Source organism: Homo sapiens, chromosome 7, assembly GCF_000001405.40.
Source record: "Homo sapiens chromosome 7, GRCh38.p14 Primary Assembly".
NCBI lineage: Eukaryota > Metazoa > Chordata > Mammalia > Primates > Hominidae > Homo > Homo sapiens.
The window spans coordinates 26,101,565-26,127,850 of NC_000007.14; the positions used below are offsets into that span (position 1 = coordinate 26,101,565).

At 43.8% G+C, this 26,286-nt stretch overlaps 2 long non-coding RNA genes across 8 annotated transcripts in view, besides 1 other annotated feature; one reads left to right on the top strand and one right to left on the bottom strand.

Annotated features, from left to right (window-relative positions):
• The window catches only part of LOC105375199 (uncharacterized), a 191,528-nt gene that overhangs the window by 162,303 nt on the left and 2,939 nt on the right, over positions 1-26,286 (bottom strand). The window lies entirely within an intron of this gene.
• Positions 75-25,243, top strand: LOC105375198 (uncharacterized). Of its 2 annotated transcripts, none has more exons than XR_927111.3 (3): positions 75-240; positions 12,821-12,855; positions 21,646-25,243. It is a non-coding gene; the product is annotated as an uncharacterized LOC105375198 (long non-coding RNA). The 2 variants fall into 2 exon arrangements; XR_927112.4 differs by lacking the exon at positions 21,646-25,243 and adding an exon at positions 15,435-18,154.
• Positions 21,451-21,510: an enhancer, noted in NCBI's record as "active region_25778". NCBI's record gives its function as "activates an Ori minimal core promoter by ATAC-STARR-seq in GM12878 lymphoblastoid cells {active_cell/tissue: GM12878}" and the evidence as "EXISTENCE:reporter gene assay evidence [ECO:0000049][PMID:35858748]".

Here is a 26,286-nt window from a genome sequence, read left to right on the forward strand (position 1 = left end):
GGCCGAGGGTAGGCAGGGGCCACCAGTCTGCGTGACCCCTGCAGTTTCAGGAAGTACGATAGCAGGAAACGGGCAGAGCTCAGATGAGACCCAAGTCCAGGGTGCAGCCTGGAAGTCTGATTCCAGAGGAACAAAGAGACAAATACCAACGTGGATTCTGGCAGAGGGGAACAATGCAGGTGCCCAGTGAGTAAAACTGGGGCACAAGAGGAAGGTTTAATTACCGGAAAAAGATAGCAGGTACTGAATGTGGGGCAGAAAGTGAGGGAGGATGGGAAACAATTGCCTCTCTTGCTAAGACCCAGCACAGAGTCCTGCACGTGGGAGGAAATCAATAAAGATTGGCTGTTTCGTTAATTAACTCAGCAGCTTATTTAGCTCAGCCAGGTCTGTTGAGTCTTTAAAGAAACTGGATCAGTGTTAAGGCAGGGCTGCAGCCCTCCTGCATCAGAATCACCCGGTGGGGGTGGGGGATTGGGGCTTGTTGAAAATACAGATACCAGGGCTCTGAAAGAGACTTAATCCTAACCTCCTGGGCCTGGGGCCCAGGAATCTGTATACCACTGGGCTACATGGCTGTACCTGTGGGTCGCCTTGTTCTGTTGGAGAAACTTGTTATTGTATTGGGTACTGTTTGCCTTAAATTTCAGGTTAAAATTAATTTTTCCCCCAATTGAGCAAAATAGAGGCAGTGACAGTATTCATATGAATGTATCTGGTGTGATTCGTCCCATTTTTCAGGTGGAGTTTATCTCATTCCCTGTCTCCACACTGGACCGGTTTGCCCAGATCTGTTTTTACCTACAGGGCCAGCTGCAGGGCTGGGCAGTCCCAGTTTCTGGTGCAATCCCAATGGCAGGAATCTCGGCCCTACCCTCTACCCACTGTGCTGATAATTAGGTCATCCTTTCCAGACTTGACATCCCAGGCCCAACCATCCCTGCTCCTAATTGTTCCCTGAAGGTGCCCCAGAGCTGGAGTACCACGGTGAGCCCTGGGGGTCCACAATACCTCTAGATCCCAGCATCTCACCTGCCCCCACCATACTGACCTAACACACAGGAGTGGGTGACTGCCTTCACTTCCCTCATTCGAGTCTTTCCCTAATTCAGAAACAAACATGTACTGAGCACCCACTGTATATGTGCCAGGCACTGGGTTACCAAAGTGAGAGAGGATTTGAATTCCTGGGGGTCTCCATTTCTCCACAAGAGTATTGGTTTGGTTTGGTTTGGTTTTTCCATTTTGATGGTAATCTTTTTTTTTTTTTTTGAGATGGAGTCTCGCTCTGTTGCCCAGGCTGGAGTGCAGTGGCGCGATCTTGGCTCACTGCAAGCTCCGCCTCCCGGGTTCACACCGTTCTCCTGCCTCAGCCTCCCGAGTAGCTGGGACTGCATGCACCCACCACCACACCTGGCTAATTTTTTGTATTTTTAGTAGAGACGGGGTTTCACCATGTTAGCCAGGATGATCTCGATCTCCTGACCTCGTGATCCACCTGCCTCGCCCTCCCTGAGTGCTGGGATTACAGGCATGAGCCACCGCGCCCAGCCTGATGGTAATCTTTTTTAAAAAAAAAATTGATATTCTGCCATATAATTTTTTTTTAATTTTTGAGATGGAGTCTCACTCTGTTGCCCAGGCTGGAGTGCAGTGGCACAATCTTGGCTCACTGCAACCTCTGCCTCCCAGGTTCAAATAATTCTCCCTGCCTCAGCCTCCCGAGTAGCTGGGATTACACGTGCCCACCACCACACCTGGCTAATTTTTTATATTTTTAGTAGAGATGGGATTTCACCATGTTGGCCAAGCCTGTCTCAAACTCCTGACCTCAGGTGATCTGCCTGCCTCGGCCTCCCAAAGTGCTAGGATTACAGGCATTAACCACCACACCCAGCCTCTGCCATATAATTTACAGTCTGTATTTATATTCATAAACATTCTCTTCAAGTGAAGGCCAAATGATATCATGTGGTGATGAACCATGAATAATCCAAAATGATTTAAATAAAGTGCCCAACATTTTGTTATCCAAGCTCAAAGGAAACTTGTAGCAATCAAAGCAACATTCTCGTGTTCATGGACCCCATTTTGTACCTACCATCTTCTAAAAGTTTGTTATGAATATGGCAGTGAATGAACAATGAAAAATCTTTCTGTTCCTCATTCTAGCAATTATGCAATTAGACACTTCTTAAAGGCAGATTTCCAGCATGTGGCAATGCTAACTTTACTTTTGAGTGAACAAGACAGTTCCTCAGAGTGAGCAAGTGGCCTTTCATTAAAATCGGCATTTCAGGAATGCTCAGGGGCAGAGTTTTAATTAACTATGAGGTCGGATTATTCTGAGCTAGCATACAAGGCAAAGCTAACAGGTATTCTCTGCATTAGCACTGAACCCAAAGGCCAAAGACAATAACTATACCATTAGTTTCAGGACAAGAGCATCATCTGTCATATTAAACTAATGTTGTTTTACTTATAAAATACTGGTTTTGCAGTGGTGTTTGGGCTTCATTCATACATCAGCTTTGTTTTTATAATAATAGCTAGTACTAATTAGTGCTTGCCACATGCCAGGCACTGTGCTAAACCTTTTTCATGGATTGACTCTTTAATCCTCAAAACAATCCTATGAGATAGATACTATTTCCTGCGTCTTACCAGTCAGTAAACTGAGGCACAGAGAAATTAACTTACCTGAGGTTACACACCATGTAAGTGACAGGTCTAGGATTTAAACCCAAGTGGGTCTTGCTCCAGAAATTGTGTTCTTAATGCAACACTATACTGTTTATCATTATATCATTTTATATATATATGATTATATATCACTTTATATATTAAATGATTTCATGATTTCATTTTATATTTTTTACATATTTTTTTACATATTTGAATAGTTATAAAAACTGCTTAATCCAATATTTAGCTTGTAAAAATTTCTTTTCTGATTTAAGAAAAAGAAAGGTCTATGTACTATTCAAGTGAAAGAAATGCTGTTTTAGTAGAATTTCTGCTCAGAGTAACTGGGACCTGTTCTTTGTTTTGATGTTGTTGTTTTGTTTTGTTTTGTTTTGTTTTGTTTTGTTTTTGTTTGTTTGTTTTTGAGACAGGGTCTCGCTCTTGTTGCCCAGGCTGGAATGCAGTGGTGCAATCACCGCTCACTGCAGCTTTGATCTCAAGCAGTCCTTCCCACCTCAGCCTCCCGAGTAGCTGGGACTACAGGTGCGCACCACCAAGCCCTGCTAATTTTTGTATTTTTTGTAGAAATGGGGTTTCGCCATGGTGGCCAGGCTGGTCTCAAACTCCTGGTCTCAAGCAATCCACCCACCTTGGCATCCCAAATTGCTGGGATTTCAGGCATAAACCACCATGCCCGGCTGGGACCCATTCTAAATCCCAGTGGTGACATGAAGTAGGAAGTGGCTCCAATGCCTGGCTTAGCTCTGTAAGCCTTTCTGATCCTCTCCTCACAGCCCAGCATGCCCTCCTCACTAGGGAAGGCCTACTGGGTAAGAACTGAGACTCCTGAACTCATCTCCACTTGTCAAGCCCCTGAGCATTCCCAATGCCTAGTTTTCCTGTGAAGTGTTCTGCTGTTAGGTCAGCTCTCCTGCTAGGAATGCAAGCTGGAGTTGCAGCTGACATTGCCATCTTTGAACCCAAAGTATTCCTCATCCTACCCCACTCCGACCTCCAGCCTTCTGCAGGGCAGGTGAGTTTCCCAACTCTCTGTCACAGCTGACACCTGACTGTGAGGTCCCAATCAGCACCAGCTTCCTCATCCTCCTTCTTTCCCTTCTCCCTGCCAGACTCATGTTCAGATGCTTCTCCTTTGGCTCAGTGACAGCCTCAACAGCATATGTGATCACAGTGACAACTGCCTGGTGCCAACTCCAGTTCACCAGGCCAGTATGACAAAAGTGAATCACACTGTTATAACTGCATCAAAATGAGGCAGTAACTCCTTGAAAGAGTGTCAGTAAGATGCAGGTAATAAATGCTTCTAGTCTGCTGGAAGGCCCATGAATTGCAATCCTCCCTCTTTATAATCACAAAAGATATGATGCATAATTACAAGTTAATGGAACTGACTTTTGCATGTGACTTGGGAATTATAAAATTATAAAGCTGAGAGGGTCCTCAGAGTTAGATCACTCCCTGCAAGTTGCATCACTTGTTTACAAATGCTTTTTTGTAGCACAATGGTAAAAAGCACTTTTACCATTGTTTCAGCACTAACAAATGAGCCCCCATAATCTTCATGCTTTTGGGAAGAGTACTGTCCACTGTCCAGTCTCCAACTTCTTTTTTTTTTTTTTTTTTTGAGACAGAGTTTCGCTCTTGTTGCCCAGGCTGGAGCACAATGGCGCAATCTCAGCTCACCTCAACTTCCACCCCCTGGGTTCAACCAGTTCTCCTGCCTCAACCTCGTAAGTAGCTGGGATTACAGGCATGTACCACCATGCCTGGCTAATTTTGTATTTTTAATACAGATGGGATTTCTCCATGTCGGTCAGGCTAGTCTTAAGCTCCCGACCTCACGTGATCCCGCCTCGGCCTCCCAAAGTGCTGGGATCACAGGGGTGAGCCACTGCGCCCGGCCCAGTCTCCAACTTCTTGAGTGATGAGAGGTGGTTAAGTAGCAGCCAAGTGGCTTCCTGGTCCCTGGATCACAGCTGTGGCATTGCATTCTTGAAGTCAATCGTCCTGTGATGGTCTACATACAATCTTCCTTCCCGATGATGGCAAAGGAGGCAGCTCCCAGCAGGCCAGTTGGGAAGCGTGCTCCAGAACCCATTCCTGCAGCCTGGGACCCACTTCTCTAGCCTTCCATTGGTTTTTATGTTCCTAGTTCCATGCATCAATTTGGTTCTGCTTAAAATACTCTGAATGGATCCTATTTAAGAGCCCTGGCTAATACACCTGCACTAATCATGTCACAAGAACCCTATGAAGGAAGGACTAGTATTCCCTTTTACAGTCTGAGGAAAGTGGCACAGGAGGTTAATAAGGTTGCCCCAGGGCTTACTTAGTAAGTGGCGGTTTCTTTAGTAAGTGGGTCTCTGGCTCAATCCATCCCAGTCCAGCTCCACAGGCCACACTCCAAAGGCTTCACTGCCTCTGTCTTAGCTGGGGCTGCTCTAACAAAGTACCATAGGCGAGGTGGCTTAGAAACAACAGAAATTTATTTCTTATAGCTCCAGACGCTGGAAGTCCAAGATGAGGGTGCCAGCATGATCAGGTTCTGGCAAAGACCCTCTTCTGGGTTGAGAATCCAGGTTAATTCTCGAGTCTTCACATGGCAGAAAAGAGCAAGAGAGATCTCTGGGGTCCCTTTGGAACAGCACTAATCCCATTCAAGACGGCTCCATCTATCACCTGAGTATAGGAGTTCGAGACCCGCCTGGATAACATGGCGAAACCCCGTCTCTACTAAAAATATAAAAATTAGCCAGATGTGGTGGTGCACGCCTGTAATCCCAGCTACTGGGGAGGCTGAGGCAGGAAAATCACTTAAACCTGGGAGGTGGAGGTTGCAGTGAGCCGAGATCACGCCACTGCACTCCAGCCTGCGTGACAGGAACGAGACTCCGTCTCAAAAAAACAAACAAAAAAAGAGGTCTCCACCTTAACAACTTAATAACCTCCCAAAGCCCCCACCCTAACACCATCACACTGTGGGTTAGTCTTTCAACATACAAATTTGAGAAGGACGCATTCAGTTCATTGCAGTCTCATCACTGTGCTACTTGACGTAACAGGAATTAATGATGCTTTGTTGGACCTGAATTATTTTTCCAATCTGATGTCATTCCACTCATGATCAAATTCCCTGAAGAGTCTGACTGGCTTGCCATGGGTCTCAGATCTCACCTACCCAAGGCTCCTTGATTGACAGTTCCCTCAAGACTGCAGGCAGTGGAGTCAGGGTAGTTCCCCGAAAGGAAAAGCTGGCTGCTGTTTTCCAATGGCAGGGAAAGGGATGTTGGTCAGACCAAAACAGATGTCCACCACAATTACCAAAACTCGTCTGAGTCTGGCCATTGCTCAAAAGCATCATGGGACAAATAGACAAATGAAAAATGCCCAGATGTTAAGTGGAAACTTGCCTCTCTTCAGTCACGAAATTGTCTTATATGGACCTTGAAGACGGCTCATGAAATGTGAAGACTTTTGTAAAATGTGGGCATAGCCTCAAAGCTGCCATGGGGGAAGCCAGGCACTCTGGAAGGGAAGGTAGGAAAGAGAAGACACTGAGGAGCATGACTGGGTGCTGCGCTCAGCCAGCCTCTCACCCCCACCCACTCCGTGAGGACCACTTGGAGCACTGGTTGAAACCCCGGCAGAGCTTGGTGACGGCATTTCTGCCACATACTGACACCATAACTAACTAAAGAATGTCCTTGGGCTAGAATTGAGAAGGCCTTAGAGATGCCCGGAAACAGCCTGCTGCTTGGACAAATGAGAAACCTGATGGTCAAAACCCCAAATCACAATTTATCCCTGGGCACCTGGTGGATTCTTCCATTTCCTGGAGACCGGTAAATTGATTTCAGGGGTATAATTCATGTGCACTTGAGTGGTTTCAACTCCTTATCTAATGATTTTAAGTTTTTGTTTAAATATTTTTTTCCAGAATGAAATAAAAAATACCTCTTCTCTCTCTAACACACACACACACACACACACACACACACAAAGGGTCTTCAAAAAGTTCATAGAGGCCAGGCACGGTGGTGCACGTCCGTAATCCCAGCAGTTTGGGAGGTCAAGGCAGGAGGATCGCTTGAGCCCAGAAGTTTGAGACTAGTCTGGGCAACATAGGGAGGGCCTGTCTCTACAAAAACATAAAACTTAGCCTGGCATGGTGGTATGTTCCTGTAGTCTCAGCTACTTGGGAAGCTGAGGCCGGGGGATCCCTTGAACCAAGGAGCTTGAGGCTACAGTGAACTATGATCATGCCACTGCACTGTAGCCTGGATGACAGAGCAAGATCCTGTCTACCCCCCGCAAAAAGTTCATGGAAAATACATATTATGAAAAAACTATGCATAGATTTCAAAAGTAAACTGGACTAACGTTATGTGTCTGAGCAGGATCTAGTTTAAGGCACTAAAATGATAAGACATAAGTTTGAAAAGAGCCTCTGTCAGAGCAACATGAATTCTGCTAAAACTGAAGCAAGGACAAATATCAAATTTATGGTGAAGCTTGGGTGGAAAAATGGTGAGATCAATGATGCTTTACAAAAAGTTTATGGAAATAATGCCTCCAAAGAAATCAGCAGTTTGCAAATAGATAACTTAGTTTTTTTGTTTGTCTGTTTGTTTTTCAATTTGTAGAGAGGGGGGTCTCGCTATGTTGGCCAGGCTGGTCTCCAACCCCTGGGCTCAAGCAATCCTCCTGCCTCAGCCTCCCAAAGTGCTGAGATTACAAACACAAGCCACCACACCCAGCCTTGTTTTAAGAAGGGATGAGATGATGTTGAAGATGTAGCCCGCAGCAGCAGACCATCCATCTCAATTTGGAAAAAAAAAAAAAATTCATCTTGCTTGTGCCTATTTAAAGAGGACTGACAATTAACTGCAGAAACAATAATCAACACTATAGACATCTCAACTGGTTCTCAACTAGAAAATTCTAAACGAAAACTTAAAGTTGAGCAAACTTTCCATTCAATGGATGCCAAAACCATTGCACCCAGATCAGCTGCAGACAAGAGCAGAGCTTTCAACAGAAATTTAAACAAGTGGGACCAAGATCCTGAAGAATTTCTTTGAAGAATTGTAATAGGAGATGAAACATGGCTTTACCAGTATGATCTTGAAGACAAAGTACGATCAAAGCAATGACTACCAAGAGATAAAAGTCCAGTCTAAGCAAAAGCAGACCATTCAAGAGCAGAGGTCATGGCAACAGTTTTTTGGGATGCTCAAGGCATTTTGCTTGTTGACTTTCTGGAGGGCCAAAGAATGATAACATCTGCTTATTATGAGAGTATTTTGAGAAAGTTAGCCAAAGCTTCCACAGAAAAACACCCAGAAAAGTGTCATCAGAGAGTCCTTCTCCACCAAAACAGTGCTCCTGCTTATTCCTCCCATCAAACAAGGGCAATTTTTCTAGAGTTTCAATGGGAAATCATTAGGCATCCATCTTACAGTCCTGATTTGGCTCCTTCTGACCTTCTTAATTTTCTAATCTTAAGAAAAAATTTAGGCCAGGTGTGGTGGCTCATGCTGTAATCCCAGCACTTTGGGAGACCAAGGCAGGTGGATTGCTTGAGTCCAGGAGTTCGAGACTAGCTTGGGCAATGTGGTGAAACCCCAACTCTACAAAAAATACCAAAAACATTAGCTGGGTGTGGTGTTGGGAGCCTATAGTCCCAGCTATTCAGGAGACTGAAGTGGGAGGATCACCTGAGCCCGGGGGGCAGAGGTTGCAGTGAGCAGAGATCATGCCACAGCACTCCAGCCTGGGTGACAGAGTGAGACCCTGTCTCAAAAAATAATAAATAAATAAAAATTTAAAGGGCATCCATTTTTCTTCAGTTGATAATGTAAAAAAAAAAAACAAACAAAAAAAACAGCATTGAAATGGTTAAATTCCCAGGACCCTCAGTTCTTTAGAAATGGACTAAATGGCTGGTGTCATCACTTACAAAGATGTCTTGAATTTGATGGAGTTTACGTTGAGAAATAAAGTTTATAAAGTTTATATTTTTCATCTTTTAATACCACTTTTCTACGAACTTTTTTTTTTTTTTTTTGGAGACAGAGTCAGCTCTGTCTCCCAGGCTGGAGTGCAGTGGTACAATCTTGGGTCACTGCAACCTCCATCTCCTGGGTTCAAGCCATTCTCGTGCCTCAGCCTCCCAAATAGCTGGGACTATACAGGCACATACCACCATGCCTGGCTAATTTTTGTATTTTTAGTGTAGACAGGGTTTCTCTATGTTGGTCAGGCTGGTCTCGAACTCCTGACCTCATGTGATCTGCCCACCTCGGCCTCCCAAAGTGCTGGGATTACAGGCATGAGCCACCGAGCCCCTGCCTAACTGGTTTAATTTTATAATCCCTTTCTCCCGAGGGAAAAAAAAAAAGAAAATTCAGATTTTTCAAATTTCAGACAAGTGCTCTTTACTGCTTTTACTGAGATTTTTCCTTGCCAATCATTTCCTGGAATTTCTCCATTGATGCCTTTCATTGCTAGTCTCAGCTTTTTGCTGAAGGTTGATTATGTGACTAAAAGTTGGTTGCAAAAAATGTCCCTACATATCACATTTTCCCAAAGTTCTGCTCTTTTTCCAATTCAACCTTCATGGTTTTACTTTTCCCTGCAATATAAGTAATCTCTCAGCTGCTAATTCACAAAACCTCAGAGTTGGTGACTTCTCTCCCCATCTAGTCATTCTCTGAACTGACCAAAGTAGGAAGGTTTCAAGTGTCATCTTATGAAGACCCACTTTTCCCAAAGGACACTGTACAGGTGAGACAAGAGGATGTATTCTAGTCGAGGCAAGGCTTCTGCAGCAGTCAGCAAAGCAGCAGAGTGGTTTAGCACTAGCCAAACGGATGATAGTGCTATATCTACCTACGTAGACAAAGTCACACCTGGAAAGAGGCAGAAATAGAATAACCCCTGGGCATTATTTATTTTAGAATAGGAAGAAAGAAATTGAGGAAGACTGGGCCTTACCTGATATGCCTGGCAATTAATGAGCAGAGAGCAGTGCTGGTTACCATATTAGCTGAGAGATAAAATGTGTAAGGGAATGAAAGGAGGCAAATCTACTCCCAACAATGGTCACCAATCAGATTTCCCAGAGTCCAAGCTCTCTGGACATTCAAGGAGAATTTTCTAAAGCTTTCCCTAAGTTGCTAAACCATTGTCCCCCAATAACAAATAATTTATATCAACCTAGAGAATAATTGGGCCTTGTATCAAGACACGGTGAGGCAGAGCACTTGTAAATGATGAATGAGCAGCAGGGCCAGTCACGCTGATATAAACTCAAACCATGGTGGCCACCGTCCATTAGGAAGTTCCAAGTGGAATCCATCCATAATGGGATTTTATACTCATAGTTGTGCCCAACCTTGCCACGGCAGAATCCCCATTTGTGTGCCCAGAAGTGCAATCAAAGAGTCATTTCTGCACTATGATTCTGTCTTGATTTTCTTAGCTATGCGTGACCTTGAGCCTGGGCACTTCCCTTCTTCATATCAGGACATTAAAGGGAAACAAGAAAACATATTTTCTTTTTTCATATTAGGATCTCACAATTTTTACTGCTTCCTTTTTAACTTTTTAATACAATACATTCATGTAATGCCAAAATTAAGATAATGTTTGGGAAAAACCCAAATACCCAATTTACCAAATCACTCTAAAAGCTGGCTGATCAATATGTCCCCCTTTTGTTTCTGCAAAATTAGATTCATGATGTATATGTGATCTGTTCATCTGCTGCTTTCATTTATGATTATGGCAGGTATTTTCTCCTATAAGTTTCATAATCACAATTTTTTACAAAGGGTATATCAGCGTATTGTTGGCCCTAATTTAGTAAATCATTTCCCTATTGTTCATCCAGGCTGAAAGAGTCTTTATCAGCACAAGACCAAAGAAGCTTCCATTTGCTATTAAGTTTTGAGTTGGGAACTCTATTCGGAGAACAATTGCTCTGAAAGCTCTACGTGACTCCTTCGGATGCAAGAGTGAGGCCAGCTCAGCTGGGATAAGCTCCTACTACAGAAAAGTAGGGGGAAAATTTCAGAATCTGGTGGTTCATCATAGAGCCAGCACTAGCATGAAAGGATGAGGCTGCCACCTCAGGGACAAAATGAAAAACAAAACAAGAAAGCCACATCAAAGAACGAAAATTTTACCCATAATTAGTTGTGTTGAATATTGCTTGTTTTTCCCCTTTTGGTTACTGGTGTACAAACTTTTAACATGAACAACAACAAAAAAAAACTTTAATCATTACTTTTTTTTTTTTTTTTTTGAGGCAGGGTCTCATTCAGTCACCAAATCTGATCGCAGCTCACTGCGGCCTCAACCTCCCAGACTCATGTGATCTTCCTACCTCAGCCTCCTGAGTAGCTGGTATTACAGGCTCACACCACCATGCCCAGCTAATCTTTGTATTTTGGGTGGAGATCAGGTTTTGCCATGTTGCCCGGGCTAGTCTCGAACTCCTGGGCTCAAGCAATCTTCTTGCCTCGGCCTCCCAAAGTGCTGGGATTATGGGTGTGAGCCACCGCACCCACATAATGATTATGTTACTTTTTTTGCTGTTCTTTTTTTCATTGGCAAAAGGAATAAATGCACAAGATTTTTTTAAATCCAGACACAGTATATTGTCTCAGATCTTGACCTCTATCCTTCTGGAATTTTTCTTTGTATATATATGTATATTTACATGTGATGTCCCTTTTTGTTTACACAAATAAGAACACACACTGTATTGCACTTGCCATTTTTATTTGACCTCAGGTCTCAGATTGATTCATCTTGGCATAGATAATCTACTTCATTATTTTTTGTAAGAGCTGCATAGTTTTTCACTACATGAAAGTGCTATAACCATTTCCCTAGTGTGAGATATTTTCATAGTTTCTAGGGTTTTTCATATTAAAAATAATGTTGTAACCATAACATTTTTTGACAGATTCAAGGCAATCGAAAGTCCTAGATTTCCTGAACAGTCTTAAATTAATGTCATAAATGATTTTTAATAGAATAATTTATATAGATTCCAAAAAGGCATTTGATAACATTTTATTCCTGATTTTTTAAAAAGAAATTTCAGTTAAGAAAAAATTCTTTTTTTAATTTTTATGCTTAATGGGGAAATAATGGAAGCTTTTCCATTAGAGGCAGGAAAAAGACAAAGATACCCATTCTCACCATTATTGGTTAAATTGCTCTAGAATTACTAATGCAAAAGAAAGAAACAGAGGTATTAAAATGGAAAATAAGGAGGTAAAATTATCTTGATCTGCAGATGACTATTATATATCATGAAAAACACGCAAAATCAACAGAAAAGCTTTTAGAGGGCCAGGTGTGGTGGCTCATGCCTGTAATCCCAGCACTTCGGGAAGCTAAAATGGGAGGATCATTTGAGCCCAGGAGTTCCAGACAGGAGTTGGAGACCAGCCTGGGCAACATAGTGAGACCCCTATCTCTAAAAATAATTTAGAAATTAGCTGGGTGTGGTGGCATGCACATGTAGTCCCAGCTACCTGGGAGGCTGAGGTAGGAGGATTGCTTGAGCCCAGAAGTTCAAGGCTACAGTGGGCCTTGATCACACAATTGCACTCCATCCTGGGTGTCAGAGCGAGACCCTGACTCAAAAAAAAAAGGGGGGGTCTGGCGCAGTGGCTCATGCCTGTAATCCCAGCACTTTGGGAGGCCAAGGCGGGAGGATCACCTGCGGTCAGGAGTTTGAGACCAGCCTGGCCAACACGGTGAAACCCCTTCTCCACCAAAAATACAAAAATTAGCCAGGCGTGGTAGCACACACCTGTAATCCCAGCTACTTGGGAGGCTGAGGCAGGAGAACCACTTGAACCTGGGAGGGGGAGGTTGCAGTGGGCCAAGATCACAGCACTGCACTCCAGCTGGGCAACAGTGCAAAACTCCATCTCAAAAAACAAAATGCTTTTAGAAACAATAAGAACATACAGCAAAATGACTTTCACACCATTGATGAGTGGTAAAGTGGCACAAGCCCTTGGGGGCAATTTGGACTATCTATCAAAACTCATTGAGCCTGTAATCTTACTTCCCAAAATTTCTCCTTCAGATATACTGCCCCATGGTTCAGAGACACAGATACAGGTATGTATATGTATACATGTTCATTAGAGCATTTTTTATAACAGCAAAAAGGCTGGAAACAACTGGTTTTATAAGGGGATGCCTATATATGTATGAGCTAGTATTTGATATGAGTACAAAACATTTTTCAAAGAATAGCCAAGAAAGTGGTATCAGTGAGTGTCTCTAAGGAATAAAACCTAGAAAGGATGAGAAGGAGCTTGTTTTTTACCATATGCCTTTTGTGTGGTTGGAACTAGCCATGTGCTCCCAAAACGCATGCCTTAAAATGTTTTCGTAGCGCAGGTAAGACTTTTCTAACAGACAAATTTATTTTCATAAAATCCTAGATTAAACCAGAAGATTAACTTTTAGTTCAAGATAGATGGATCTAGGCTGGGAGTGGTGACTCACGCCTGTAACCCCGGGCACTTTGGGAGGCGGAGGCGGGTGGATCACCTGAGGTCAGGAGTTCAAGACCAGCCTGGCCAACATGGCAAAACCCTGTCTCTACTAAAAATACAAAAATTAACCAGGCTTAGTGGTGGGCACCTGTAATCCCAGCTACTCGGGAGGCTGAGGCACGAGAATCGCTTGAACCCGGGAGGCAGAGGCTGCAGTGAGCCGAGATCGTGTCACTGCACTCCAGCCTGAGCGACAGAGCAAGACTCCATCTCATAAATAAATAAATAAATAAATAAATAAATAAATAAATAAAATAGATGGATGTCCTTCGTGCAATACAGGAAAGCCTCTCATTGGCATTAAGAAGACAGAAACAACACCTAAGGATTTTTTAAGAGTTTTTGTTGTGGTTGTTTTAGACTTGATGGCTTTGAAATGGTGTAACTATGTCTACTCATCAATCAACTTTACTGGTCAGTGTTTTTCAAGCCCTGTGCCCAGATAACAATTCACGTCACTGAGCAAGGTGAATTCAGGTTGGGATGTAACCCAGGACCAACCTCACTTTTTTGAGGGCTTACAGTGACCCAGTCAAATAGGGCAACACTGACTCAAAAAGTTTGGGACAGGCTAGGCCAGCAGGAAGGAGAGTGAGAACCTTATCTGGGGTCTGTTCTGCTTGCTCCTGCTGGCTCCTCTGGTCACAGTGACCACCATCAGTGACAACACGGTTCCACTCCAAACCTTTCTCATCTCACTTGTTCTCCTCCTCTTATTTCTACTTCTAATATAGAGAGAGAAGCTTGGGCAATTCTGGTGAGTGGCAGGAGGAAAAGCGACAAGGGCATGTGGTGTTAGCAACAGAAAATTCTACAGCTAATAGCAATAACATTTTACCCTAAAATCACACGAAACTAAACTATATTGATCAGTTCCCAAACCCTCGTCCACTAACTAGGCTGCTACACCTAAATCGCTAGGGAGCATCTTTAAATGCAAGAATTCTCGGGTTGTACTCTGCTTCACTGGATCTGGGGAAGGACGTGGAAATCTATATTTTTAAGACATTCCCCAGGTAACTCTGATGGGCAGCCAGGCTTGGCAAACATGGACATAAATTATTCAGTTACACCCAAATAATTGTGGCCCATATAACAGTCTAATAAATTTGGATGTGACCCCTTGGGGGAAAAATATCCCAGGAAAAATTGCTATCATAAAGGAATTAAATTAATCCTCAAGGGTGTGTAAATTAATCCCAGTAAACACATTATAGTCACTGCATTAAGTAAAAAATTTTGTCTGCCTACTCAATAATGAAATAAGCAGAGAGAGGACATTTTAAAGCCTGCAGGAGATATTATAATTCAAACACTAACCTAGAGCTGATAAATATTTTATAGACAATTTTATTTCATTCTACTTGAGAATGAATAAGGGCGTACGTTTCTATTTGGCAACATCAGGGTTTTTGAATTGAATTGGAAGCTTATAGTGTTGGTGAAACTCGTGAATTTCTCCCTCAAGATGAGTATTGGCAACTTCATAACTAAAAGACACCAGGTCATTTTTTCTCCTCACTGTAAGCCACTTCACGTGACTTGGTCTTTTGACTCTGCTCTGAAGTACAGTGCTGCGAACTGTCTTTTGTAGAGTCCTGTAAAATGTACTTGTTCTCTAGAAACGGACAGATCTATAGATGTCTGGTCCTGGTCCTCCTTAATTTCCTCCTGCTGAGAACCTTGCAAAACCTCACTACAAAGTAAGCCAAAGAAAGTTGGAAAAGTAAGTTCTTTTCATTCGTCAACTTACAGGACCACAACAAAAAGTCTCTGCAGGCAGTAGGGGAGTTTATGGTAAACACCCATGGGCAGTGAAAGTTTGTCATGGGTTTGTTTTCTCATCCTAAATTGAGTAAGATGTTTTGTAAAGGATAAAATCATACAAGCCAAGAAAGCCTTCAGGGTTTGACAAACATACGGAGAGATTCTTTTAATACAAATAGGGAATCTGGACTGTGAAAATTAGGTGTTCTCTGTTCTCAAAAGTGGGAGGACAAGTCTGCCCAACTTCATGTGAAAATGTACTAGAGAAACGGGAGTTGACCAGAGAAACTGGTTGTCAGAGTTTAAACTGAGATTTTTCTTCTAAGAGAAATGGTAACTTTTTAAAAAGATTCTTTCACCCATTTGCAGACCCACTTCATGGCAGGATGCTTACCTTGGATGCTTACATTTGGTGTCAAGATGAAGGGGGGGCCTTTCCTGGATGTCACTGGGATGCCACAGCAGGCCTGTAGAAGTCACATTGCAGGAAAGACGTTGGGCTTCCCAGGAGGAAAAGGGAAAGGGCTGGGGATGAAAGATCAAGCTCCCAGACCATGAGGTTGAGACCTCTGAAAGCCGCCCTTTTGGAAACAATGTCCCCAGAAGACAGAAAACTAAGGTAGAGGAAATTCAAAAGTTGCATGCTTTATTTCAAGACCGAAAGTGAAGACTGCCACACAGGGATGTGTCACGCAAATGCCCCCAGCCCAGCCTCCCAGGAACTGCCAACCTGCTTCTGAGCAGCTGTGATAATATTCAGTGCAGACTGTCAACTGCTGGCTGAGGGCATTTTGCTTGAAGAGGGTGTCCTTTTTGGGGATGGGAAGAGAACAGTGTCTAAGCAAAACATTTGAAGAGCAGTGATGCAGAGCCTCTGCCTCAGAGTACAGCCACAGTGGGGCAGTGATAGGGACAGCCACCAGAAGCCTCCAGACCCATTCACAACCAACCAGGAAGGGGTTGGGACTGAGGATGACAACCCCCCGCATCAGCATGTGTGCACATAAGAGGAGAGGACACCGGCCCCCAGTGGAAACTGCGGAGATTAGCATCCTAGTACCAACAGCTTTTTTATGATAATCTTGGCTTCCAATTGTCCCTCCTTTGGAGTGTGCGTGTGTTGAGGAGAAAGGGGTAGATATAGTTTGCTAATGAATTTCACATATTTCTGTATATGTGAAATGTGAAATCGAATATAAAGAATGCATGATTCTTTGAAAATTATTTAAGAATTCATATATGAGAATTATGAAAATTCAGAGCCTTCACTCTTCACTAGGCAAGAAAAATTACATCAGCTGGGCATGGTGGCTCGAGACTGTACTCTCAGATACTCAGGAGGCTGAGGCAGAAGAATCGCTTGAGCCCAAGAATTCAAGACCAGCCTGGGCAACATAGTGAGACCCTGTCTCTAAAAAAATAATAATAACAAATAAAAATAAAATTAGCCAGGCATGGTAGGTAGCGCACAACTGTAGTCTCAGCTACTCAGAAGGCTGAGGTGGGAGGTTTGCGTGAGTCCAGGAGATCACAGCTGCAGTGAAGTATAATCATGACGCTGCACTCCAACCTGGGCAACAGAGCAAGACCCCATCTCGAAAGAAAAAGAGAGTACCTCAAGCTAGTCAATGCAAACTCCTTTTGTTGTTGTTGTTGTTGTTGAGACAGGTCTCACTCTGTCATCCAGGCTGGAGTGCAATGGCTCGATCACAGCTCATTGTAGCCTCAACTTCCTGGGCTCAGCTTCCTGAAGTAGCTGGCACTACGGGCACCTACCACCATGTCTGATTTACTTTTTGTAGTTTTTGTAGAGTTTCACCACGCTACCCAGGCTGGTCTCAAACTCTAGGGCTCAAGAAATCTGTCCACCTTGGCCTCCCAAAGTGCTGGGATTACAGGCGTGAGCCACCACACCCAGCTTGGCAATGCAAACTTCTACCTCCTTTTCATGTATACAGGTTTTTCCTGCAGTTACTAGAAGCAAAATATTGACCCTGACCTCCAAGAGTTTTATTTTAGATGAGATGACAAAATGCCCATGTAATGATTAAAAATCAGTATAAAGCAGAATGTAACCAGAACCTAAATGGGGCAGGTGTGGATTAAAGCCATAACAGTAATCTAGAGAAAGAAAACATCTCTGGAAGCTAAAGCTACTGCTGCAGTGAAAGATTTCATAGAAATGGGACTTCAGTTGAGCTCTGAAAATAATTTAGTTAAATGTATATGGGAACTATGGCTGGGTACAGTAGTTTATGCCTGTAATCCCAGGAATGTGGGAGGCAGAGGCTGAGGTGGGAGGATTGCTTGAGCCTGGGAGGTCAAGGCTGCAGTGAGCTGTGATCACACCACTGCACTCCAGCTTGGGTGACAGAGTGAGACCCTGTCTCAAATAAATAAATAAATAAATAAAATGAATATGAGAATGAGATGGAAGTTTATCCGAGAAGAAGTAACAGCAAAAGTTCAGCAGTCAGAACAAGAGGGACTGTGTGCAGGACCAGATGTCTGCCTGGTGCTGTCCACCTTCCATGCGATGGGTAGGAGCGTGCTGTCCACCTTCCATGCGATGGGTAGGAGCGTGCCCCATGTTGCCTGCTCACTATATGCCAGCGCCTGTGCCAGACACACTCACTTATTACCCTGTTACATCCTCACAGAAGCCTTTCCACACCAGAAGGGAAGGAAGGGCTCAGAAGGGTTCAGTAATTTGTCCAAGGTTGCATGTTAGTAAGTGGCAGAGCTGGGACTCTAACTGAAGTCACCCAAGTCCAGAGCCTATGCTGTTAACTCCAACACTTTTATATGAATCCATGGTTGGGTGGCCAGTTGGCAGCAGTGAGCAGCATAAAGCTTAAAGATAGGTGTTTTTGGCCAGAACAATGTGTAGAAAAGCAGATTGACTTGGCTGGGATAGGCTGGCTGCCCGATCAGCTTAATTCCTGTTTCCCACCCTCCCAGTTTCACATGCTCATGCTACCTGTCCAAGAAATCCTGCCTAAGGTGCCCAGCTGACACTGAGGGAGGTGAGGAGAAATGGAAAAGAAAGAGCCCATTCTTTTTTTTTGAGACAGAGTCTCATTCTGTTGCCCAGGCTGGAATGCAGTGGCACGACCTTGGCTCACTGCAACCTCCGCCTCCCAGGTTCAAGCAATTATCCTGCCTCAGTCTCCCAAGTAGCTGCAATTACAGGTGGCCGCCACCACACCTGGCTAATTTTTATAATTTTTTAGTAGAGATGGGTTTTCACTATGTTGGTCAGGCTGGTCTCAAACTCCTGACCTCAGGTAATCCACCGGCCTCGGCCTCCCAAAGTGCTGGGATTACAGGCATAAGCCACCATACCCTGCCAGAGCCCAATCTTGAGATCCTTCTAAAAAAGGAATTTGAAAGCAAAGACAAAGAAAGGAAAGAGTTAAAGACTTAAGTCTATAAGGTTTTTCACAGTGAATTCTCCAGCATCAGAAATCCCTTGGGCAGGTTGGGGGTAGGGTGGCACGGAGCACTGGTTAAAAATGCAGAGCCCTGGGCCCAGGGCACTCCCACCGAGTCTAGGGGATGGCCAAGGAGCCTAAATTTGCTAGCAGGCTCCACTAAAATTTGAGAGCTATTGGATTGTACTTGTTCCAGAACAAAATCCCTCATACTCACCTAGTTTTCCCTTCTTGCAAATATAACTCTTAATCACATTTACTCTAAATGAGAAATAGTGTTCACTGTCAGCCTGTCAAAATACTTCACGTATGTCTTAGGAAAACCTTTAATCACAACTTTCTTTTCTCTGAGTGCTTTTTTTCTAATCTTTGAGCTTTGGAGCACCGAATTAAAGTCAGTCCTAAATCCTTTTCTAATCAACACTTACATCAAAAAGACTTCATTGCAATTCAATTTGAGCCATTTTCGCCATTCATGTTCAGCCTATTATTACCAAGGAGCTGGCCAATGGCACTGAGAATTTTTCACACTGACCAAAAACTGGGGTTCACTGAGTGCCAAGACATGTTTTGGGAGCCACAGGCAGTCACTCGGCTTCCTTTTCTTGCCTGTCTCCTGGGAAAGGTGGGTAAGAAAAATCCCCCTGAAGCCTCTGGGCAGTGAGGAGTACTTTGCCCTTGCCCCTGACTTTGGGAAGAGCTTTCCCCATTCCAGGCCTTTTCCTCTGAAGTTCAGAATGCCTGAATGACCTTCCCCTCCTGCCACTCCCCCAGAAACTCCTAATCATCCTTCAAGTTTTGGCTCAGAAGTAGTGAAAATAATAATCATAAATCACATTTCCCTATTCAACTCTGTCTTAGCTTACTATATAATTTCCCTTTGTAGTTCTCATCAAAGTCTTTCATGATCTAATTGTGTCATTATTTGATGAGCACCTATCTATCCCACTGAAAACTACATGAGTGCTGAGACCATTTGCTTTGCTCAGACTTGTATTTATGCCTATTACCATGTCTGGCACACAGAAGGTACTCAGTATTATTGGATGAATTCAGAGGTTTATGTTTACTGAGCACTTAACAATACGTCAGGTACTGCTATGTGCTCCTGACACATGATGTATTTTAATTTTCCCAACAACCTTCTGAGGTAGGCACTATTATTACCCCTGTGGGATAGGTAAGGATGTCAAGGCTCATCGAGGTCTCAGGGATTTGTCAGGGTCACACAGCTAATGAGTGTGGGTGCTTGGATTCAAATATGAGTTTGTCTACCTCTAGATCTCAGCTCTCACCCATGATGTTATACACCTACTGTTTGACATAGTCAGCTTCCATAACTGTTACCTTCTTGGACACCCTCTTCCTAGAATTAATTGTTTCCTTCACTGTTTTTTTCTCATAACATTTCAAATATTCTTCCATTGCCACACTATTACATTGCATCAGGATTTAAATATGTGTCTGGGAGCTCCATGAGTGCATGGACCATGTTTTATTAAGCCAGCGGGCCAATTCTAACCACACAGTCCATATGCAGGTGCGATTACAGTACGGGATAAGTGCTTGATTAACCCAGCATCAGTCCCTCTTGATCCATCACTATAGAGGGAGATGCCATTAACCTAAGTGGACAAATTGACTAAGGGAACAGATGGACAGCTCAGAGGCAGACCCACCAGATACAGAAACCTGGCATGTAAGAGGTACACTGGGAAAAGGATGGAGCCAGCACACTCAGTGGTCCGTGTAACAAAGGAATGAAAGTAGACCCCGTATCATACACGATACATAAAAAATAATTCTAAATGGGCTGGGCGCTGCGGTTTATGCCTGTGACCCCAGCACTCTGGGAGGCCGAGGCGGGCAGATCACTTGAGGTCAGGAATTCGAGACCTACATGGTGAAACCCGTCTCTACTAAAAATACAAAATTAGCAGGGTGTGGTGGCTGGCGCCTGTAATCCCAGCTACTCGGAAGGCTGAGGCAGGAGAATCACTTGAACCCAGGAGAAGGAGGTTGCAGTGAGTCCAGATTGCACCATTGCACTCCAGCCTAGGCTACAAGAGGGAAACTCCATCTCAAAAATAATAATTCTAAATGGACCAAAGACTTCCATGTGAAAAATAAAACTTTCAAACGTATAAAATGAGGAGTAATCACAATGATAATCAAGGAAATTAAAATCAAGGCTATCATAAGATATTCATTTTAAAGCCACTGAATTGGCAAAAATAAAGAAATCTGATAATACTCAGTATTGGCAAAAATATGGATCACTAGGAATTCTTAATCCACTGTTGATGGTTATATATATATTAGCAAACCACTTTAGAAAAAAGTTTGGCAATATCTAAAGATTATATTTATACTATAAAATATATGTAGCAGAAAATGAATTAACAGGTACAGCTGCTGTAGAAAATAGTATGATTCTTCAAAATTTTAAACATAGAATTACCATACAATTCCACGTCTGGGTATATACCCAAAAGAAGTGAAAGCAGGGATAAGAACGTATATTTGTACACTTATGTCACAGCATTATTCACAATAGCCATAAGGTGGGAGCAAACCAAGTGTCCATCAATGGATGAATGGATAAACGAAATGTGTTGTGATGTTTGTGTGTGTGTGTGTGTGTGTGTGTGTGTATAATGGAATATTATTCAGCCTTAAGTTAAATGGATGGACCTGAGGACATTATGCTAAGTAAGATAAGTCAGTCACAAAAGGACAAGTATTTTCTATGAGGTACCTAGAATAGGCAAATTCATAGAGACAGAAAGTAGAACAGACGTTGCCAGGGGCTGGGGGAAGAGGAGAATGGAGAATTTTCTTCTGCAGATAACTACTCTCCTTTTGAGTGACAGCTCTTGGCCTGTTACTGGGCCTTGGTGGAAACTGAACATTGGCTATGGGTCATCAAGTCACCATGTAAACCTGAACTGCCTGTCATGAACTGGGTGCTTTCTGACCCATCTAGCCATAAAGTGGGTGGTGCACAGCAGCATTCCATCAACAAATGGAAGTGGTATATACGTAATCGGGCTCGAGCAGGTCCTGAAGGCACAAGTAAGTTACATAAGGAAGTGGCTCAAATGCTCATGGTCTCCACTCCTGCCACCCTGCCTTCTCTCCCTCAGCGTGCACCAATGGCCTCATGGGGAATTCCCTATGATCAGTTGACAGAGGAAGAGAAGACTAGGGCCTGGTTCACAGATGGTTCTGCATGATATGCAAGCACCACCTGAAAGGGGACAGCTGCAGCACTACAACCCCTTTCTAGGACATCCCTGAAGGACAGCGGTGAAGGGAAATCTTCCCAGTGGGCAGAATTTTGAGCAGTGCACCTGACTGTGCACTTTGCATGGAAGGAGAAATGACCAGATGTGTGATTTATATACTGATTCATGGGCTGTAGCCAATGGTTTGGCTGGATGGTCATGGACTTGGAAGAAACATGATTGGAAAGTTGGTGACAAAGAAATTTGCGGAAGAGGTGTGGATGGACTTATCAAGTGGTCAAAAACTGTGAAGATATTTGTATCCCATGTAAGTGCCCACCAACGGGTGACCTCAGCAGAGGAGGATTTTAATAATCAAGTGAATTGATGACTGTTCTGTGAACACCATTCAGCCGCTTTCCCCAGCCACCCCTGTCATCGCCCAATGGGCCCATGAACAAAGTGGCCATGGTGGCAGGGATGGAGGTTAAGCATGGGCTCAGCAACATGGACTTCCACTTACCAAGACTGATCTGGCTACGCCCACTGCTGACTGCCCAATTTGCCAGCAGCAGAGACCAACACTGAGCCCTCAATATGGCACCATTCCTCGGGGTAATCAGCCAGCTACCTGGTGGCAGGTTAATTGTATTGGACCTCTTCCATCATGGAAAGGGCAGAGGTTTGTCTTCACTGGAATAGACACTTACCCCAGATGTGGGTTTGCCTATTCTGCACGCAATGCTTCTGCCAAGACTACCTTCCATGGACTCACAGAATGCCTTATCCACCATCATGGTGTTCCACACAGCATTGCCTCTGACCAAGGCACTCACTTTATGGCTAAAGAAGTACAGCAACGTGCTCATGCTCGTGGAATTTACCGGTCTTACCATGTTCCCCGACATCCTGAAGCAGCTGGAATGATAGAACGATGGAATGGCCTTTTGAAGTCACAATTACAATGCCAACTACATGACAATACTTTGCAGGGCTGGGGCAAAGTTCTTCAGAAGGTCGTGTATGCCCTGAATCAACGTCCAGTATACTGTACTGCTTCTCCCATAGCCAGGATTCATGGATCCAGGAATCAAGGGGTGGAAGTGGAAGTGGCACCACTCACCATTACCTCAAGTGATCCACTAGCAAAATTTGTGCCTCCTGTTCCCACAACATGACATTCTGCTGGCCTAGAGGTCTTAGTTCCAGAGGGAGGAACGCTGCCACCAGGAGATACAACAACGATTCCATTAAACTGGAAAGTTACAAGTGCCACCTGGACACTTTGGGATCCTCCTGTCTTTAAGTCAACAGGCTAAGGGAGTTAGTGTTGGCTGGGGTGATTGACCCCGATTATCAAGATGAAATCAGTCTACTACTCCACAGCAAAGGCAAGGAAGAGTATGCATGGAATACAGGAGATCCATTAGGATGTCTCTTAGTATTACCACGCCCTGTGATTAAGGTCAATGGGAAACTACAACAGCCCAAGCCAGGTAGGGCTACAAATGGCCTAGACCCTTCAGGAATGAAGGTTTGGTTCACTCCACCAGGAAAAAAAAAAAAAAACACGACCTGCCGAGATGCTTGCTGAAGGCAAAGGGAATACAGAATGAGTAGTAGAAGAAGGTAGTCATCAATACCAGCTATGACCACGTGATCAGCTGCAGGAACAAGGACTGTAATTGTCATGAGTATTTCCTCCTTCTTTTGTTAAAAACATGTTTGTGCATGTATACACTTATACTAATTTTATTTCACTTTATTTCCTATTTTCTTTACCATGTGACGTAAGATTTGTTGACCTCATATCAGCATTTAAGTATTGTTAATTTTATGTAATAATATTTGGGTTGATGATTGGTGTGTTTCTGGTTGTATGAAGGATAGTTGTATTATGTTAGGCATAACTATGACCTTATTATTGTCTTTATTTGAAGACTATGTATGATCTCAGGAGATGTGTGTGGGTTCAAGTTGACAAGGGGTGGACTTGTGATGGTTAATACTGAGTGTCAACTTGATTGGATTGAAAGGATACAAAGTATTGATCCTGGGTGTGTCTGTGAGGGTGTTGCCAAGGAGATTAACATTCGAGTCAGTGGGCTGGGAAAGGCAGACCCACCCTTAATCTGGGTGGGCACCATCTAATCAGCTGCCAGCACGGCTAGAATATAAAGTAGGCAGAAAAATATGAAAAGACTAGACTAGCCTAGCCTCCCGGACTACATCTTTCTCCCATGCTGGATGCTTCCTCCCCTCAAACATTGGACTTCAAGTTCTTCAGTTTTCGTACTCAGACTGGCTCTCCTTGCTCCTCAGCTTGCAGATGGCCTATTGTGGGACCTTGTGGTCATGTGAGTTAATACTTAATAACTCATATATATATATGAAGGGGATTTATTACTTCAGACAGGCAACAAGAGACAACAGAAAGAAGCCCAGGATTCATGGTGAGCTGGTTCCCCAGGGCTCAGGAAAGCTGCCCAGGTGGATGGAGTCTTCCACAAGTGCTTCACTTGCACAGCAGCTGAAGGTCACCCAAAAAGTGACCTACCTGGGTTTTATACCCCAGGGAACATGAGTTGCTGGGATAAAGCATTGAAGGACATCCTGTTTCTAGGGGGGAGCTGGAGAGAATTCAGGCTGTTCCAGTCAGTCCCTCCCTATCTTGGGATGTTGCACTCCCAGCACATTCTACAGTTATTCTTGAGAACTGCAAGCAAGAAAGAGGGAGAGAACTGGGCCAGTCCAAGGCCACCCAGAGAACTGTCCCGCAGGATGGTGAAAGGTCTGGAAACTCTGCCAGGGAGGAAGGGGTGCTGGTCTGGAAAAGTGCATGTGGGCCTTTTGGAGAGCCTGGTTCAGAAGCATGGCTACTGGTATTGCTTGGCTGAAGCACTGCTCTATGGGAAGTTCACCCTCTTTGAATAAGTGAGCCACTTCAGAAGCACCCCAATCTACAGAACTAGCCTGGAAAAGGAAAAGGGAGAGTATGGGAAACATAAGACCTAACTTCAAATCTTAGAAAGCCTGTTTTATAGAAGTGAGATTCACTGTGAGAAGTTCCAGAGATCAGGCCTCATGGTTAGAAGCTACAGGAAGACTTTACAAACTTTGAGCAGGGCAAGCGCCCAAGAGCTAGGCTGCCTGTGAGGTCCTGGACATGTTCAACCATCTAGATTGTCAAAGAATCAATTGCAGGACTGGAAGCAGGGGAAGCTGGAGGAGATGCCAGCTAGGTCCTCGCCTGCTCTGTGACAATGATTCAAATGCATCCAGGTGGTAGACACCCCACCTGCCAGGAACAGCTGTCAGTCTTGGAACCACTCAGTCAACACTTATTTTGAGTTGGATTTTCTGATTATTCTAGAACTCATTTGGATCTTGCCATGAACCAAATCAGCCCTTTTCACATTAGCTGCAGTCCCTGGAGTATTAAAAATGCTGCCAAGCCTTAGGTTTTACCACTTACGGAGTAAGCCTTGAGTTCTAATAAAACGATGCTTAAAGCAGATACATACATCTTTTTTTCTATATTCTAAACTGTTCATAGTTTGCCACCTCTCCTATAAATGGATCTACCATCTTTTCAAGATTTTCTCCCATAAGCACTTGAGAGCACTTCTGTAAGCCCCCAGGATACTGAATTGAAAGATTTATATTAACACCTGCAGGCAAATCTCTTTTGAACTTGTCCAAGGCAGAATCATGAGGAAGGGACCACAAAATAAGTCAGCTAATTACATGTCACTTTAAAACCACTGGATGTAGACTAAAGGCTGCTGAAAGGTTTTGATCAATACTGACTCTGCCTTGGACACCATGAGTAATGTGATGCACGCTGCTCATGTCTTTTCCTGGGCACCTCAATCTGGCAACTTCTTTTCTAAGCAGTAATTAAATCAGTGAAAATTGTATATAGTCATGTGAGTGGCAAAAATTTTTAGCAGCAATCATGAAACCAACCCCCGCCCCACGCCCCACCGCTCAATACACTTTGAAAATCTACAATTGGCAAATTTGAAATGTCAGGTCCATGCTAATTTGTTTTGCAAGCTACTCCAAGGAAGCCAGATATCAGCCCGTCCCCGGCTGTTAGATGAAAGGCTCCAGAAAGTCTTGCATAGCTGACGGCAGGACGCAGTGGGCTCTCTCCTCCCTTCCCTGGCACCATTTGGGTGGCATCATTGTGAAATGCTCTTTCTGCCGCTGGTACTGGCATCCTGTTAAATCTCAATTTGACACTCGGGTGTGCGCTGAGTCACAGCAGGTGCAAGACTTAGGTGACTGCTTTGTGCCCACATTTGAATAACTCAGCTCATGAGCAAGTTGGCTCAGGTGTGCTTCCTCCTCTCATTAGCCATGGTTTTCTCAACCCAAGAGCAGTTGACTACCCAGCGTGACCTGAACTGGCTGCTTCATCAAATATTGACAGCATGTTTGAAGTTCTCCTTTTATTCTTACAAGGCAGTTTCCTTCTGTGATACTTTCCTTCAGAAAGTACTGTTTCAAGCAGTGCCCAGACCTGGCCCTGAAACCATGTCTGCAGACTGTCAT